The sequence below is a fragment of the Homo sapiens genome, chromosome 10 (genome assembly GCF_000001405.40).
Source record: "Homo sapiens chromosome 10, GRCh38.p14 Primary Assembly".
NCBI classification, from domain to species: domain Eukaryota; kingdom Metazoa; phylum Chordata; class Mammalia; order Primates; family Hominidae; genus Homo; species Homo sapiens.
Genome location: NC_000010.11, coordinates 73709384 through 73722948, shown reverse-complemented (window position 1 = coordinate 73722948; position 13565 = coordinate 73709384). Strand labels below are relative to the sequence as shown.

The window sequence follows — 13565 nt, the reverse complement described above, 5'->3', positions numbered from 1 at the left end:
ATGGATGTTTATATCCTAGTGGCCTTGTCTTATGGTTGCCTTTTAGAGCAAGTCAGAGGGTGGTGGTTTCTCTGGGTGATGCCTGTGTAGTCATTTGATTTAGTCTGGAGTGGGACTTTTCTGTCGAGGGCCAGATAGTAGATATTTTCAGCTTTGTGGATCATATCTTTTGCAGCTACTTAGCTCTGCAGTTGTAGTGCACAGGCGGCCATAGACGATATGTAAATGAATTAATGTGGCTATGTTCCAATAAAACTTTAGTTACAAACACAGGTGATGGGCTGGATTGGGTCGATGGGCCAGTTGCCAACCCCTAGTGTAGGTGGTCTGTTTTGGTAGTTTCTTTGAGAAATAATGTGTTCTGCTTGTAGGTACTGATGCTTATAGATGCCAGCTTTGGGTTTGAAATGGAAACGTTTGAGTTTCTAAACATCTGTCAAGTACATGGCTTTCCTAAAATTATGGGAGTTCTCACCCACCTCGACTTCTTCAAACACAATAAGCAACTGAAGAAGACAAAGAAGCGATTAAAACACAGGTTCTGGACAGAAGTTTACCTGGTAGGAAGAGAAATAATTGTTAGATGCTAACAGTATAATCCTTTTAAAATAGACTGAAGAGGCTGGGCACAGTGGCTCATGCCTGTAATCCCAGCACTTTGGGAGGTAGAGGTGGGTGGATCGCTTGAGGCCAGGAGTTTCGAGCTCAGGGCAATGTGGCTAAACCCCGTCTCTACTAAAGATGCAAAAATTAGTCATATGTGGTGGCGCGCACCTGTAATCCCAGCTACTCTGGAGGCTGAGACGTGAGAATTGCTTGAAGCTGGGAGGCAGAGGGTGCAGTGAGCTGAGATTGCACCACTGCACTTCAGCCTGGGTGACAGAGTGAGACTCCGTCTCAAACAAACAAACAAACAGACTGAAGAGACATTACTAAACGTCTGTCTAGGATTTGCCTCCTGAATTCCCTTTGCGTATGTGTTCCCAGTCTCTGGAAGGTTTCCCTCAAGAGTGGTTATTCTGGGCCTCTTGGTGTATCTCATTTGTCTCTGTACCTGCTGCACCAGGCAGTGTCTGGGTGTTTGGGGGTTGGGACTTAATGGAGTACGTCAGAAGTTTCTCCCAGTTACAGGACCAGGCACTGCCCCTTCCTTTCCATACTGCTCTGGTCCATCAGCCACAGAATCGTTTCTGTGCTCAGAGGCCTCACCTCCCTCTCCTCACCATACTTAGATGGATGCCCCTGCTCGGCTGCAGAGCAGTCTGCCTCTGTGTGGTTCTAATAAGTCCTGAAAGAAGCCAGCAAGGCTCTGCAAGCCTCAGGACAGTGGCTTTGCTGGAAGTCTCCCTTCTTAGGATTGCTTCTTGTTTAGAGCTTTTATTTTGTTGCAGTATTGACAAGAATTTAGTTGAAATTTAATTTTTAATTTTCCTTTAATGTTTAGGTTGCCAAGCTGTTCTGCCTTTCTGGAATGGTGCATGGAGAATATCAAAACCAAGAAATGCACAATCTGGGCCATTTTATTACAGTTATGAAGTTTAGGCCTCTCACATGGCAGACTTCTCATCCTTATATCCTGGCAGACAGGTAAAAAGTGATTGTAAACTTTTAATTCCTGGACCATATATTTCAAAGCTAAAAAGGCTAGAAAAAGAACAGTGACAGGATTTATTTTGTGCCTATTTGAATAGTGGGGGTAGAAGTGTAGTGGATGGAAAATGTCTACTGATATCATTGCTCAAAGATGCTGTGCCTTTGGGAGTAAATTAACTATGAGATGTTTAGGAAAGTGGGAGGACTTGGAAGCATTTAAGGCCACAGGATGTGGCCCCATCCTATGTTCAGCCTCAGATTTCAGTGATGCTGCCTTCGTGCCTGGGTGCTTGAGTCCTTTGTGTGTGCCTTCAGTTTCCTTCCTTTGTGCTGTGGTTTTCTCAGCCTGGAATACCCTTTTTCCACCTGCCAGAATCCAAGCCACAGTACAAATCCCAGAGCACAGGCTCACCCTCTTCCAGAAAGGGATTTTCTGAATATGTTCTTTACTCTTCTCTGACCCCAGGTGGACGTCATCTCCCTGTCTGGTGTCTTACGGAATGAATGTCACTTTCAGCCTAGAGACACAGTTGTGTGCCTGCCCCTTTTCCTCTGGTGCTTCCTTATTTCTGTATTTTCTAGTTTTCTAAACAATGTGCTTAGTGGACAAGAGTGTGATGAGTCACTGACACATGAAAGGAGGTATAGGAACTTTTGGCATTCATTTCTGCTGTATGATTGAGTTTATTTTTCTAGGGTGGAAGATTTGACAAACCCAGAGGATATCCAAACAAACATCAGATGTGACCAGCAGATGTTACTTTACGGTTATTTAAGAGGAGCGCACTTGAAAAATAAAAGCCAAATTCACATGCCAGGTATTCTCTTGTTGTAGAACATACTAGAATCACACATAGGATTCTTGGGATGGCTTCATTTCTCAGGAAAACTGAAAAATGACCAAACAAGGGAAGATGGCCTTGGTGGAGGTTTTAAAAGTAAGCCAGCTATGTGTAGGCCTGCAAAGGTGTTACCGAATGCCTCTTCTCTGACCTCTTGTCTTGTAGCTAGAGGGCCACTGTTCCAGTGTGGCACAATGCCCTTCTTTAGGGTCATGGTTTAAGCCCTTGGAGTGTGCATCGTTTTTAACCCCCCAGTCAACAGTAGATACTTACTGACTTCTTGTCAGTTGAAGCTGGCTTTTTGGGTCCTGTCTTCCAGGGGTAGAAGATTTTGCCATGAGTGACATCAGTTTCTTCCCAGACCCTTGTGCTCTTACTGAACAACAAAAGAAGTGCTGTTTAAATAAGAAGGAGCAGCTGGTTTATGCGCCTGTTTTTGGAGTTGGGGGTGTGCTGTATGACAAAGACGCTGTCTATGTTGACCTTGGTGGCAGCCACGGTTTTCAGGCATCAGTGAGGCAGGAGTCATTGCTCTGAACTCTCATTATTCTTTCCGAATCTATTTTTTAATTAAAAAAAGTAATATACTCAGCTTTTATTTATTGAAGATTTTTCTCTCGTACTTATAATAGAGGCCCAAATGCATATTGTCAATATGTAGAATAAAAAGAATACCATTTTTTCATTGTACCAAGCAGAAGAGTCCTGTCCTCCATGCCTCCTTGATCCATGGCCCCAGCATGGGCACTGCTGCCAGTGTGGCACCTGCCCGGCTTATCTCCGTTTCTACAAAATCAGTGTGCTTTCCAGCTCTCATTGGTCTTTTTCTTTTTCTCATTCACAATGGTCTCCTCATTCTTTATTTTAAAGTGGATTTCCAGTATTTTTAGTTCTGAAGTGGAATTTTATTGGGTTAAAATCAGGGTTATTTTAAAATGTTAGAAAAGCTAGCATTGTTGTAGGATTGGAACTGAGATTTTTCTAGCGAGGTGTTTAGGTTATCAGGTTGTATACTCACTGAGGTTTGGAAAAGTTTAATGGAGATGGGGATCCATTTCAAGCTTTGTTATAAGGATTTTCTTCTCTGGTTTTTGAGGCATTAAGAAAGGTTCTCAGGAAATGTGTCTAAGATAATTTTGAGAACTGAGTGAAACCAGTGTCTCTCCAGGATCTTTGTGCTTTCCTCACGTGCCCTTTCTTGGTGGTCTTGACAGGACGAGGTGGGGCCCACCCATGAGCTGGTCCAGAGTCTCATCTCCACCCACTCCACCATTGATGCCAAGATGGCTTCAAGTCGAGTGATGTTGTTTTCTGATTCCAAGCCACTTGGGTCAGAGGCTATAGATAATCAAGGGTAAGTCTGCTTTTTTTCTATTTTTAATAAAAATATATATTACAGAAGATCATATCACCCATAATTCTGCCATCATAACACATTTTGGTGGGATTCATTCTATGTTGTTTTGTTTTTCTTTGTGTGTGCATGTGTCTCTGAGGGCTCTTCACTTACCTGACATTATGAGGGAGTCTTTTCTTGAAATAAAATACAGGATGCATTTTTCAAGAGACCCCAAATATTCCTCAAATACCACGCCATCTTCCATAGGTTGCTTTTTTGTTTTTTAAGAGACCTGAGGCCACTTGGCTTTCTTTTGGTGGCCAAAACACTAGAGCAGAAACAGGGAGTTTGTGGCTGTCCAGAAGCCACATGCCTTGTCTCTGAAAGTTTTATTTAGATTATGTTGTATTATCTCCTATGGGTAGGTTTCCACTGATGTGTGGCTTATGTGAATTATTTTTCAGCCTTTCTTGGGAATTTGTATACCTTTATGCTTAGTGGATGTTTGCAAAACATTGGTTTTGTTGTATTAGTTTATGACTCCCAGTAAAATTTATCTGAAAATTTTGAGATAATCTAGTATGTAATTTGTTACAATGTGCACAAACTACGTACTAAAGTTCCTGACATAATGAGTGTTATTAGCTATTTTCATTTTTGCATATCCTTCTGGTCATCCTTGTCTACAAGAATACTCTCTTCTAATATAGTTACAGGTAAAATACATAATTTATTTCTATATTCTGAGCGTTTTGTTTTCTATACAGTCTTTATGTAGTTGTCATTTTGTTGTTCCTGGTGTTTTTTTTTGTTACTGTGGTTTTTTTGTTTTGTTTTGAGATAAGATCTCACTTTGTCTCCCAGGCTGGAGTGCAGTGGCGTGATCTTGGCTCACTGCAGCCTTGAACTCCCAGGCTCAAGTGGATCCTCCCTCTTCAGCCCCGCAAGTAGCTGGGACTACAGGAGTGCACCACCACCCCCATCTAATATTTTTTTGTTGTTATTCTAGGGACGAGTTCTCACTATGTTGCCCAGGCTGGCCTCGAACTCCTGGGCTCAAGCAATCCTCCTGCGTTGGCCTCCCAAAGTCCTGGGATTACAGGTGTAAGCCACTACGGCTGGCCTATTATTGCTGTATTCTAACTTATTCATCTCCTATGGTACGATTTTTCATTTTTTCTAATTTATGTTTTCATACTTTTATATATCGTGCTATGTTAAATAGCTTCATATAGTTTTCTTTTATGCAGTGATTTTAGCCTCTTGATGATCTTCTTTATCAGTTATGGCACTGGTGACTTAAAATGGATGTTCTTCCTCTGTCATTCCTCCGACGTTTGTTAGCTGGCATTTTTAACAAAGAGCTTTCACTTCTCCTTTTTATTTCGGTATCTCTGCTGACTAATGCACTTGCATTTTATTCCATGGGTTATTTTCCATCACTGTCATTGTTCTTTCTGATGCCTATGCTGTCCCAGATTCGACCGTGGGAGCCTTCAGCCTGTGTCCTGTGTCCTTTCAACTGTCTCTATTAATCTTTGAGCATTTCTTACTTTCTCACAGAACAAAAGTATCCAGGCTTATGTTGCCCTCTTTCTGCCTTGGGCCTGGACTCAGCCATTTCTCTTAAGGATTATCTTAAGCATCATTTAGCTTAGAAATTAATCAGCTTTCCAAAAGATGTACAAAATGCTAACTTTCCTTTTGAGCAATTTTTTTCTAAAATTAGATTTTTTTTAGAGGATTATTCCTTTATTCTTTCTATAAGTTCATTTGAAGTGTGGTGTTAGGAAACCATGCCTGAGTTTAACTCTTCCAGTGTTTATCAGATCATTTTTTCCCTGTGCTGTATCATCTTAAACATCTTAAACAATTCCTTGACATTTTTATATTTCTTTGTATTTTCATTGACTGTATTGCCATTTCTAGATTAGCTGGTTAATGTACAAATTGGATTATTTTGCATTTCCTTGGTAATATAGGCTGTTGATGCTAAAGGAGGAAAAACAAATGGACTTGAAAACTGGTCGAATGCATCGGAAAGCCATTTTTGGAGATGATTCTATGCTAACATCCTCTCTCCTTTCTTGATCTCTTAATTTTTTTTTTCTTACCCAAGTATATACAGGTTGATTTTGTCTTTCTGGAAGATCCAAGATCTTTGGTTTAGAGATATATTCTCTTAATGTTAACTGGTATTAGAATACTCTTTTCTGTATTTTATTTCAATACACTTGAGAATAGAAATGATTGTATTTTCTTTTAACTTGTGCAGTAGAGTGTGGCATACAAATGTTGTATTCTCAGTATTTCAAAAAATTACCTTCTTACTGTACAAGTTGTATTCAGCATATAAAGTCTATTCCAGCTTTGTTGTAGATGCAGTGTGATTATTACATGCCGATAAGGTATGAATTGGAGATGGGATCCAAAATTACTGTACTTAGTGTAATTTTTAAGCTAATTACAGGGTTGGTGGTGAATATTTTACTTCTGCAAAATGAAAACAGCATTTCATCAGAAGTTGTTTTATGGTCTTTCAGACATTTTATTGTATATCTTTGGTGCTTTTTGCCCATGAAGTATCTCTTTTGTGTGTTTGTGTGTATGTGTATTGATCTGCTGTAAATTTCACAGCACTCATTGTCAGGGATCAGCAGAATCAGGCCTAGGCAGAGAGCTGAGCAGTACTCTCAGTACGTCTCTGTGTCCTTGTTGCCACATTATCTCTGTTGTTTATTTATAAGTTGGAGAACTCTCTGACCTGTAACAAAGGTTGGATAGGTCAGAGACAATTGGGAGAGGAATCCTCTGCTCTATTGTCACCTGTGCCTCACTCCAAAATATGCTCTGAAATCAATATTTAAATATTAAATTTGTATGGTGAATGTATTCTTTTTTAATGTTAATTAAATGATTGGTCAGCCCACTTAATATTTACAATGCAGGACTTACTTTGCGTATTCTCTGTCTTGTATTTTTGCTTTATTTAAGCTAGGCTAGCCTCCAAGCTGGAAGCTGAATTGACAGTTGAAAAATAATGACATGTATACAAGGTATGTTTGAAGGATTGCAGATGCAGGGGCACCATATGCTAAAGGAGTGTTGGAAGCTCACTGCAGAAGATGACAAAAGCAGACTGATATGTATTATTTGCTGAAATATAAGCTGGAGGCACAGGTGAAGATTGCCAAACCTAATGAACAGTTTGGCAAATAAGACAGGCTGTCAGGCCATGGCAGTTCAGCAGTGGGCGTGCTGCCTGTGAACCAAGTCATTTGTTCCAGAGGACTACACTTAAATACCACAAATAAAATCTTCCTTGTCACTGATATCACAGTGAAATAGATGTTGTCTTTCAGATTTCTGGTTGAATTACCAGCCATTAACATCTGGTGATTTGGGTTGTAAAATTATTTTTAGTTTTGCCTGTTCATATTTCATCCAGAAAGCCCAAACAAGATATATTTTCCCACATAAGAATGTAAGCAGTATAATGCCCCGTCCGGGAGGGAGGCGGGGGGCAGCCCCCACCTGGCCAGCCGCCCCTTCCAGGAGGGAGGTGGGGGGCGCCTCTGCCCGGCTGCCCCGTCTGGGATGTGGGGGGGGCCCCTCTGCCCGGCCGCCACCCCGTCTGGGAGGTGTACCCAGCAGCTCATTGAGAACGGGCCATGATGACGATGGCGGTTTTGTCGAGTGGAAGGAGGGGAAGTGTGGGGAAAGGAAAAAGAAATCAGATTGTTGCTGTGTCTGTGTAGAAAGAAGTAGACATGGGAGACTCCATTTTGTTCTGTACTAAGAAAAATTCTTCTGCCTTGGGATGCTGTTAATCTATGGCCTTACCCCCAACCCCTTGCTCTCTGAAACGTGCTGTGTCCACTCAGGGTTAAGTGGATTAAGGGCGGTGCAAGATGTGCTTTGTTAAACAGATGCTTGAAGGCAGCATGCTCCTTGAGAGTCATCACCACTCCCTAATCTCAAATACCCAGGGACACAAAAACTGCGGAAGGCCGCAGGGTCCTCTGCCTAGGAAAACCAGAGACCCTTGTTCACATGTTTATCTGCTGACCTTCCCTCCACTATTGTCCTATGACCCTGCCAAATCCCCCTCTCCGAGAAACACCCAAGAATGATCAATAAATACTAAAAAAAAAAAAAAAAAAAAAAAAAGAACACTGCAAGAACATCTGCCCCAGAACTGCCTGTCCAACCTGGACTGACATCATCCTTGTTATTGATCTTTGTAGCCAAATATAATTATTTTAAAACAAACAAAAAAGAAGAATGTAAGCAGTATAAGACTTTAAAACACACAAATGAAAAATATACATGACTACATGCTTCAGTGAACTAAAACTTTCATCTGTGATCTTTATTTTGCAACGTTCTGAAGTAACATTACAGTCTTTTCAGTGTGCTGTGTCATTTATATCCCTTACTTTATCCTGGGAATCCTGTATTGCCATTGAGCATATGCAAATTGAGACATGTGCATAGCTTCTCCCCGTTGAGCCCATCAGTGGGGAGGAGCTATGTACCGGGGACATTTGGCAAAGATTTTCATGAGTCTGTTGGATGTAACAGCTCCTTAAGAAAACCTCAGTTTACCTTCCCTATTTTTTACCATTTGTAAAACTAAGGCTCAGTGATGTAAAATATAACACATTCTGTGCTGTGGCATAACTGCAGCTTAGGTTTTTATATTCAAGACAAGCAGAGGTATAGTTGAAAAGGTATGAACACTTATTATGCTTCAAGATCCCTTTGTTGGTTTAGTTGTGGCATTTTAGAACAGCGGACTTGGGACTAAAGCATCTTTCTATCTGGGATCAGTATTTCTAAGTTGCCTTTAAGCTGAATAAACATTTGGTTTTTATATTTAATTGCTTCGATGTGAAACACTGCAATTTAAAAAATTACACATATGTAATACAGTATTTTACACTAAATAATAGTGACTGGCAGTCCATTGGCCGAAGAAGTATTATTTTTCAGATATTCTGCTCTGTCATCAGCTGTAGACACTGACCTGGTATTTATCTGGAAAGGCTTGCTGTCAGGGGTTCACAGTGCTGCTTGTGGGTTATCTCCAGACCCTTTACATACAGCACTTTAGGACAGCGTGAGTCACAGGTTGCACTAGAATTTGCCTTTGAAATTAGACCTAAACTATGTGGAACTGGAACCCTTGTACACAAAGCTCTCTATCATCCAAATCCTGCTGAACTCTCTTAGGAAAGAACAGTTTTACAGATTCATTCTTTCCACACACAAGATTTCCCCACTGCCCAGTTACTCTCACCTTTTTATTTTCTTGACTGTTATGTTTTACTTGACGCTGGAATCTTACCTTGTACTCTCACATTTACATGGAAGTATAGCTTATTTCACCAATTATACTGTCTATCAAAAGCAGAAGTAGTTACTTACACCTGAAAATTTGTACTGAGAATGTAACTGTGAATATGTTTAAGAAAGTATACTTAAAGCAGAAATCCAAGGAAGTATATTTAAATCAAAGCAAGAAATCCCATTTCCAAATGGCAATAAAGCATGTGTTACATAGAATCAGTGCATGAAAGTGTTTTAGTAGCCCAGATTAGATTGTACCCTGGCAAATAAGCAAGAGTTCTTTTTCATTTTCATCTTGCAATTCAACTGGGTATTTGGGTTCTTTTTCTATTCACTCATGTCAGATAGAGACATACATGTTGTAAATTATTTTGTCAGAATGAAAGCCTGGCAGATTAAATGCTTTCTTCTCTTCTTGCTTTACTTGATATCAATCTCTTGTTCATTTCTTGATAATATGTTTGGTTATTTTTGTTTTCATTGCTTTTAGTGTCAGAGATGGCTTTGGATTCCCCGTTCTGTGTGCTGCTGTCTGGCTCCTGAACCCAGCTGTAGAGGTGTGTCAATCCCAACTGGTGAAGTACTGAGAGGAAGCTACACAAAAGGCAGCAAAGTATTAGTAAGTGTACCTCTGACATTTTAACCACCTCTGACTTTTCCATGGAATGGACAAGTAGTAGTCTCTGTCAGAGCTACATTTTAAAGGAGAAAAAGAAACGTGAAGTCATGAACTGTTAATTTATGCTGTTATTTTTGTGTTTACTCACCTCATTTATATTGACTTGTAAATTAGTAATTTGTGAACTATTATTTATCAATTCATTGCCTACATGTCAGGAAACAAATTTTCTTCTTAATAAAGAATCCGGTTGCTGGGCACAATGGTTCACACCTGTAATCTCAGCACGTTTGGAGGGCAAGGCAGGAGGATTCCTTGAGGCCAGGAGTTCAAGACCAGTCTGGGCAATATAGCAAGATTTCATCTCTACAAAAAAATGAAAACATTGGCTGGGCATGGTGGCTCATTCCTATAGTTCAGGCTACTGAGGAGCCTGATGTAGGAGGATCATGTGACCCCAGTAGTTTGAGGCTGCAGTGAGCTATGATCCTAACACTGCTCTCCAGCCTGGGTGACACACCAAGTTGCCCTCTCTTCAAAAAAGGAATCTAGAGACATCAGTGTGTGCACAAGCATGGTTTGTGAATTTGGAAGTGCGTATGTGCATAGTTGTGCTCAAGAATGTGTTGATGATTATACCTTCTCAGAATGAAGGTAATTTTTTTTCTTTTTTTTTTTTTGAGATGGAGTCTTGCTCTGTTGCCAGGCTGGAGTGCAGTGGTGCTCTCAGCTCACTGCAACCTCTGCCTCCCGGGTTCAAGCAATTCTCCTGCCTCAGCCTCCCAAGTAGCTGGGACTACAGGCACACACCACCACTCCCGGCTAATTTTTTGTGTTTTAGTAGAGATGGGGTTTTACCATGTTGGCCAGGATGGTCTCGATCCCCCGACCTTGTGATCCATCCACCTTGGCCTCCCAAAGTGTTGGGATTACAGGTGTGAGCCACCGTGCCTGGCCTGAAGGTCATTTTTATAAAGATCTCTCCATGTCTTAGATTTGATTCTTCCTTTGAATATTTTTCTCATTGACATTTGAAAGCACCTGACCTTATATAAAATGAACAATTTTCATAACTCCATAAAAGGAGAATTATGGCATCATCTACTATTTCTTTCTCTTGTCTCATAAATCTAAACCATCAACCTGCTTATTTTTGTATACTGTCACACTGTGTATTCCCTGCATTGAATGCCTTTCTATTGACATTGTCTATAAAAATTGTGGGAAGTTTTCTGCACCCTGAAATTTCTGTTATGCGGATTAAATATCCACTATCCGTGTTTTTCCGAGTCTTACAGCAGAAAGGGTAAATGCAGCCCTCACAGCAGCCTGTTGTTCGTCCTGCAATTGTGTTTCCATCACATTACACAAAGCCTCTTTGTCTTCGTGGTTCTACCCTACTAATAAGTTTTTTAAAAAATTATGTAATGTGTGTATATACAAATACCTATATGTTTGTGTGTACACATACAGCTAATATCTGCTGAGATTATGTATGCATGAACTATAGAATTAACTTGTAATTTTAAGAAAATAAATTATTTTGTAAAGATAAATCTCATGTTTAAGAAGAGGAATTACAATTGAATCATTTAGGGATGCCTCAGCCTAAACATAATATGGAAAAAGCCATAACCAAAAGTCATTTTAGAGTACTGCTAGGTTACTCAACCTATCATCACATTTAATTAAAATGTCAGTTTGAACCATGGCCAGTCTATTTTGGTTAATATGTTATTTAAATCAACTTGTGAAGTCTTCATTTTAAATATAGAATTTGTGTTAATGAACTGGAAAATAACATTCTATTCTTGGAAGATGTGTTAAAGTCTAAAGATTTATGACTTTGTAAAAGAAGAAAACCAGCTGGTGATCAGTTGGCATTAGTATATGAGGATGTACTCATATTTGGTAATAGCCATTTTTTTCTAACTAGAGTAAGGGAGTTGGGAATGGGAGGCAGAAACAAGGACACAGACATGTAAAAAATCATAGAACAAAACTGTATTGAGTTCTGCGTATGGGTCTGTGATCCATGGTTCAGTTTGAGAGGTTCATGTGTCCCTTATGAGAAGGGACAGGAAAGCCAGGAGGACAGGAGTATGTTTGGGCCTGTGCCTCTGCTTCCACCACAGAAGTCAGCAGCTCTACCTTTCTCTTTTCTCCTCTTTATCTAATAATTGTCTCCTCTTCAAATTTGGGAAATGAACTTAATCAAAGATTTGTTGTGTTTTTTTGTTTGTTTGTTTTCGAAATGTGGCCTCAGTGTGTTTGCCCAGGCTGATCTTAAACTCCTGGGCTCACATGATCCTCCCTCTCAGCCTCCTGAGTAGCTGGGACTACAGGCATGTGCCACTACACCCAGCTAAGTTAATGCTAATGTGTAGTTTATCTGCTTCAATTTTGAAGGGTAGGATATATATAGTTATGTGTGTGTGTGTGTGTGTGTGTGTGTGTGGTGGGGGGGTAGTGTTTGTGTGTGTGTGTATATATATTTATATATTCCTAGTCCATTGCTGCTACAACAAACTACCACTATGTCAGGGCATAAAACAAATTTATTACACTCCTGTAGGTCAGAGTATGATGTGGATCTCACTGGGCTAAAATCTAGGTGGTGGAAAGGCTACCTTCATCTCTAGAGGTTCTAGGGGATCTTTTTTCTCGCCTTTTCCACATTCTGGAGTCTGCCTGCATTTTTTGGCTTTGGGCTCTTCTCCACTGTCACCATTAGCAACCTTGCATCCCATGGACCTGTCTTCTATGGCCACATGTCTCTGTGGCTCTTTCCTTCCCCCTTCTCTTCCACTGTTAAGGACTCATGTGCTTACTTAGTCCTGAATGGAGACACCGTCATCATCCACATAGCCCACTGTCGTAATCCATACAGGCTGCTACAAGGAAATGCATTAGACCAGGTAGCTTATAAACAATAGAACTTTGTTTCTCACAGTCCTGGAGGCTGAGAAGTGCAAGATCAAGGTGCCGGCAGTCTTGGTGTCTGGTGAAGGCCTGCTTTCTCATAGAGGCTTCCTTCTTGCTGTGTCTTCACATGGGGAGAGGAACAAACAAGCTCCCTTGTGCCTTTAATAAGGTGCTAATCCCAGTCATGAGGGCAGAGTCTCATGTAAGGCTTAACCTCCTAATACATCACCTTGAGGGTTAGGATTTTAACACATGAACATTGACGGAACACAACGTTCATTCCATAGCACCAGGGTAGTCTCCTCATGTGAAGGTCTTTACCTGAGTCACATGCATGATGTACCATTTTCATGTAAGGTTCTAGGAATCTGTGGACATCTTTGGGGGGGGCCGTTATTTTGCTGATCACATATTACATATATTTTAATATTCTAGACTAGTATGAAAACAATGCCACTTCCATTGCTTTATATATGTATATATATATATACACATTGTCTAATGCTATAATTAAAAAAAAGTTGTAGACACAAATATACCCATTTAAAAAAAAACCCATTTTTTGCTATTTTACTTTATACTGCCAACTCCTTTTTCCTGAAACTGCTTCAACTCTGGAATTCTTTTTTGCTGTTAGTTTTATTTTATTGAAATATTCATGAACGAGCATACACTTGTATATGGATTTAAAATTCACAGTAAAGTTCTCATGAATTCATCTGTGAATAACATTTTATAGACAAAATGTCTGCACTAGGACAAGAGAAAGATGTATAATTCCCTTGTTCTAAGGTACCGCCATTCATTGTTATTATTTTAAAATACGAGTGTTGACTGATGTTAAAACACAAAATGGGGCCGGGAGTGGTGGCTCCCGCCTGTAATCCCAACACTT

At 40.2% G+C, this 13565-nt stretch overlaps 2 pseudogenes across 4 annotated transcripts in view; both read left to right on the top strand.

Moving 5' to 3' along the window:
- BMS1P4-AGAP5 (BMS1P4-AGAP5 readthrough) overlaps positions 1–13565 on the top strand; it is a 56232-nt pseudogene that overhangs the window by 7558 nt on the left and 35109 nt on the right. For 2 of the 3 annotated variants that reach the window (NR_160426.1, NR_160425.1), the window contains exons 5-10: positions 372–560; positions 1445–1587; positions 2290–2411; positions 3650–3789; positions 4784–4934; positions 9617–9745. The product of NR_160426.1 is annotated as a BMS1P4-AGAP5 readthrough, transcript variant 2 (transcript). The remainder of the gene's footprint in view (positions 1–371; positions 561–1444; positions 1588–2289; positions 2412–3649; positions 3790–4783; positions 4935–9616; positions 9746–13565) is intronic. The other variant, NR_160427.1, reaches the window with a different exon arrangement.
- The window catches only part of BMS1P4 (BMS1 pseudogene 4), a 31364-nt pseudogene that overhangs the window by 7566 nt on the left and 10233 nt on the right, over positions 1–13565 (top strand). Inside the window, exons 5-10 of the transcript NR_026592.2 lie at positions 372–560; positions 1445–1587; positions 2290–2411; positions 3650–3789; positions 4784–4934; positions 9617–9745. The product of NR_026592.2 is annotated as a BMS1 pseudogene 4 (transcript). The remainder of the gene's footprint in view (positions 1–371; positions 561–1444; positions 1588–2289; positions 2412–3649; positions 3790–4783; positions 4935–9616; positions 9746–13565) is intronic.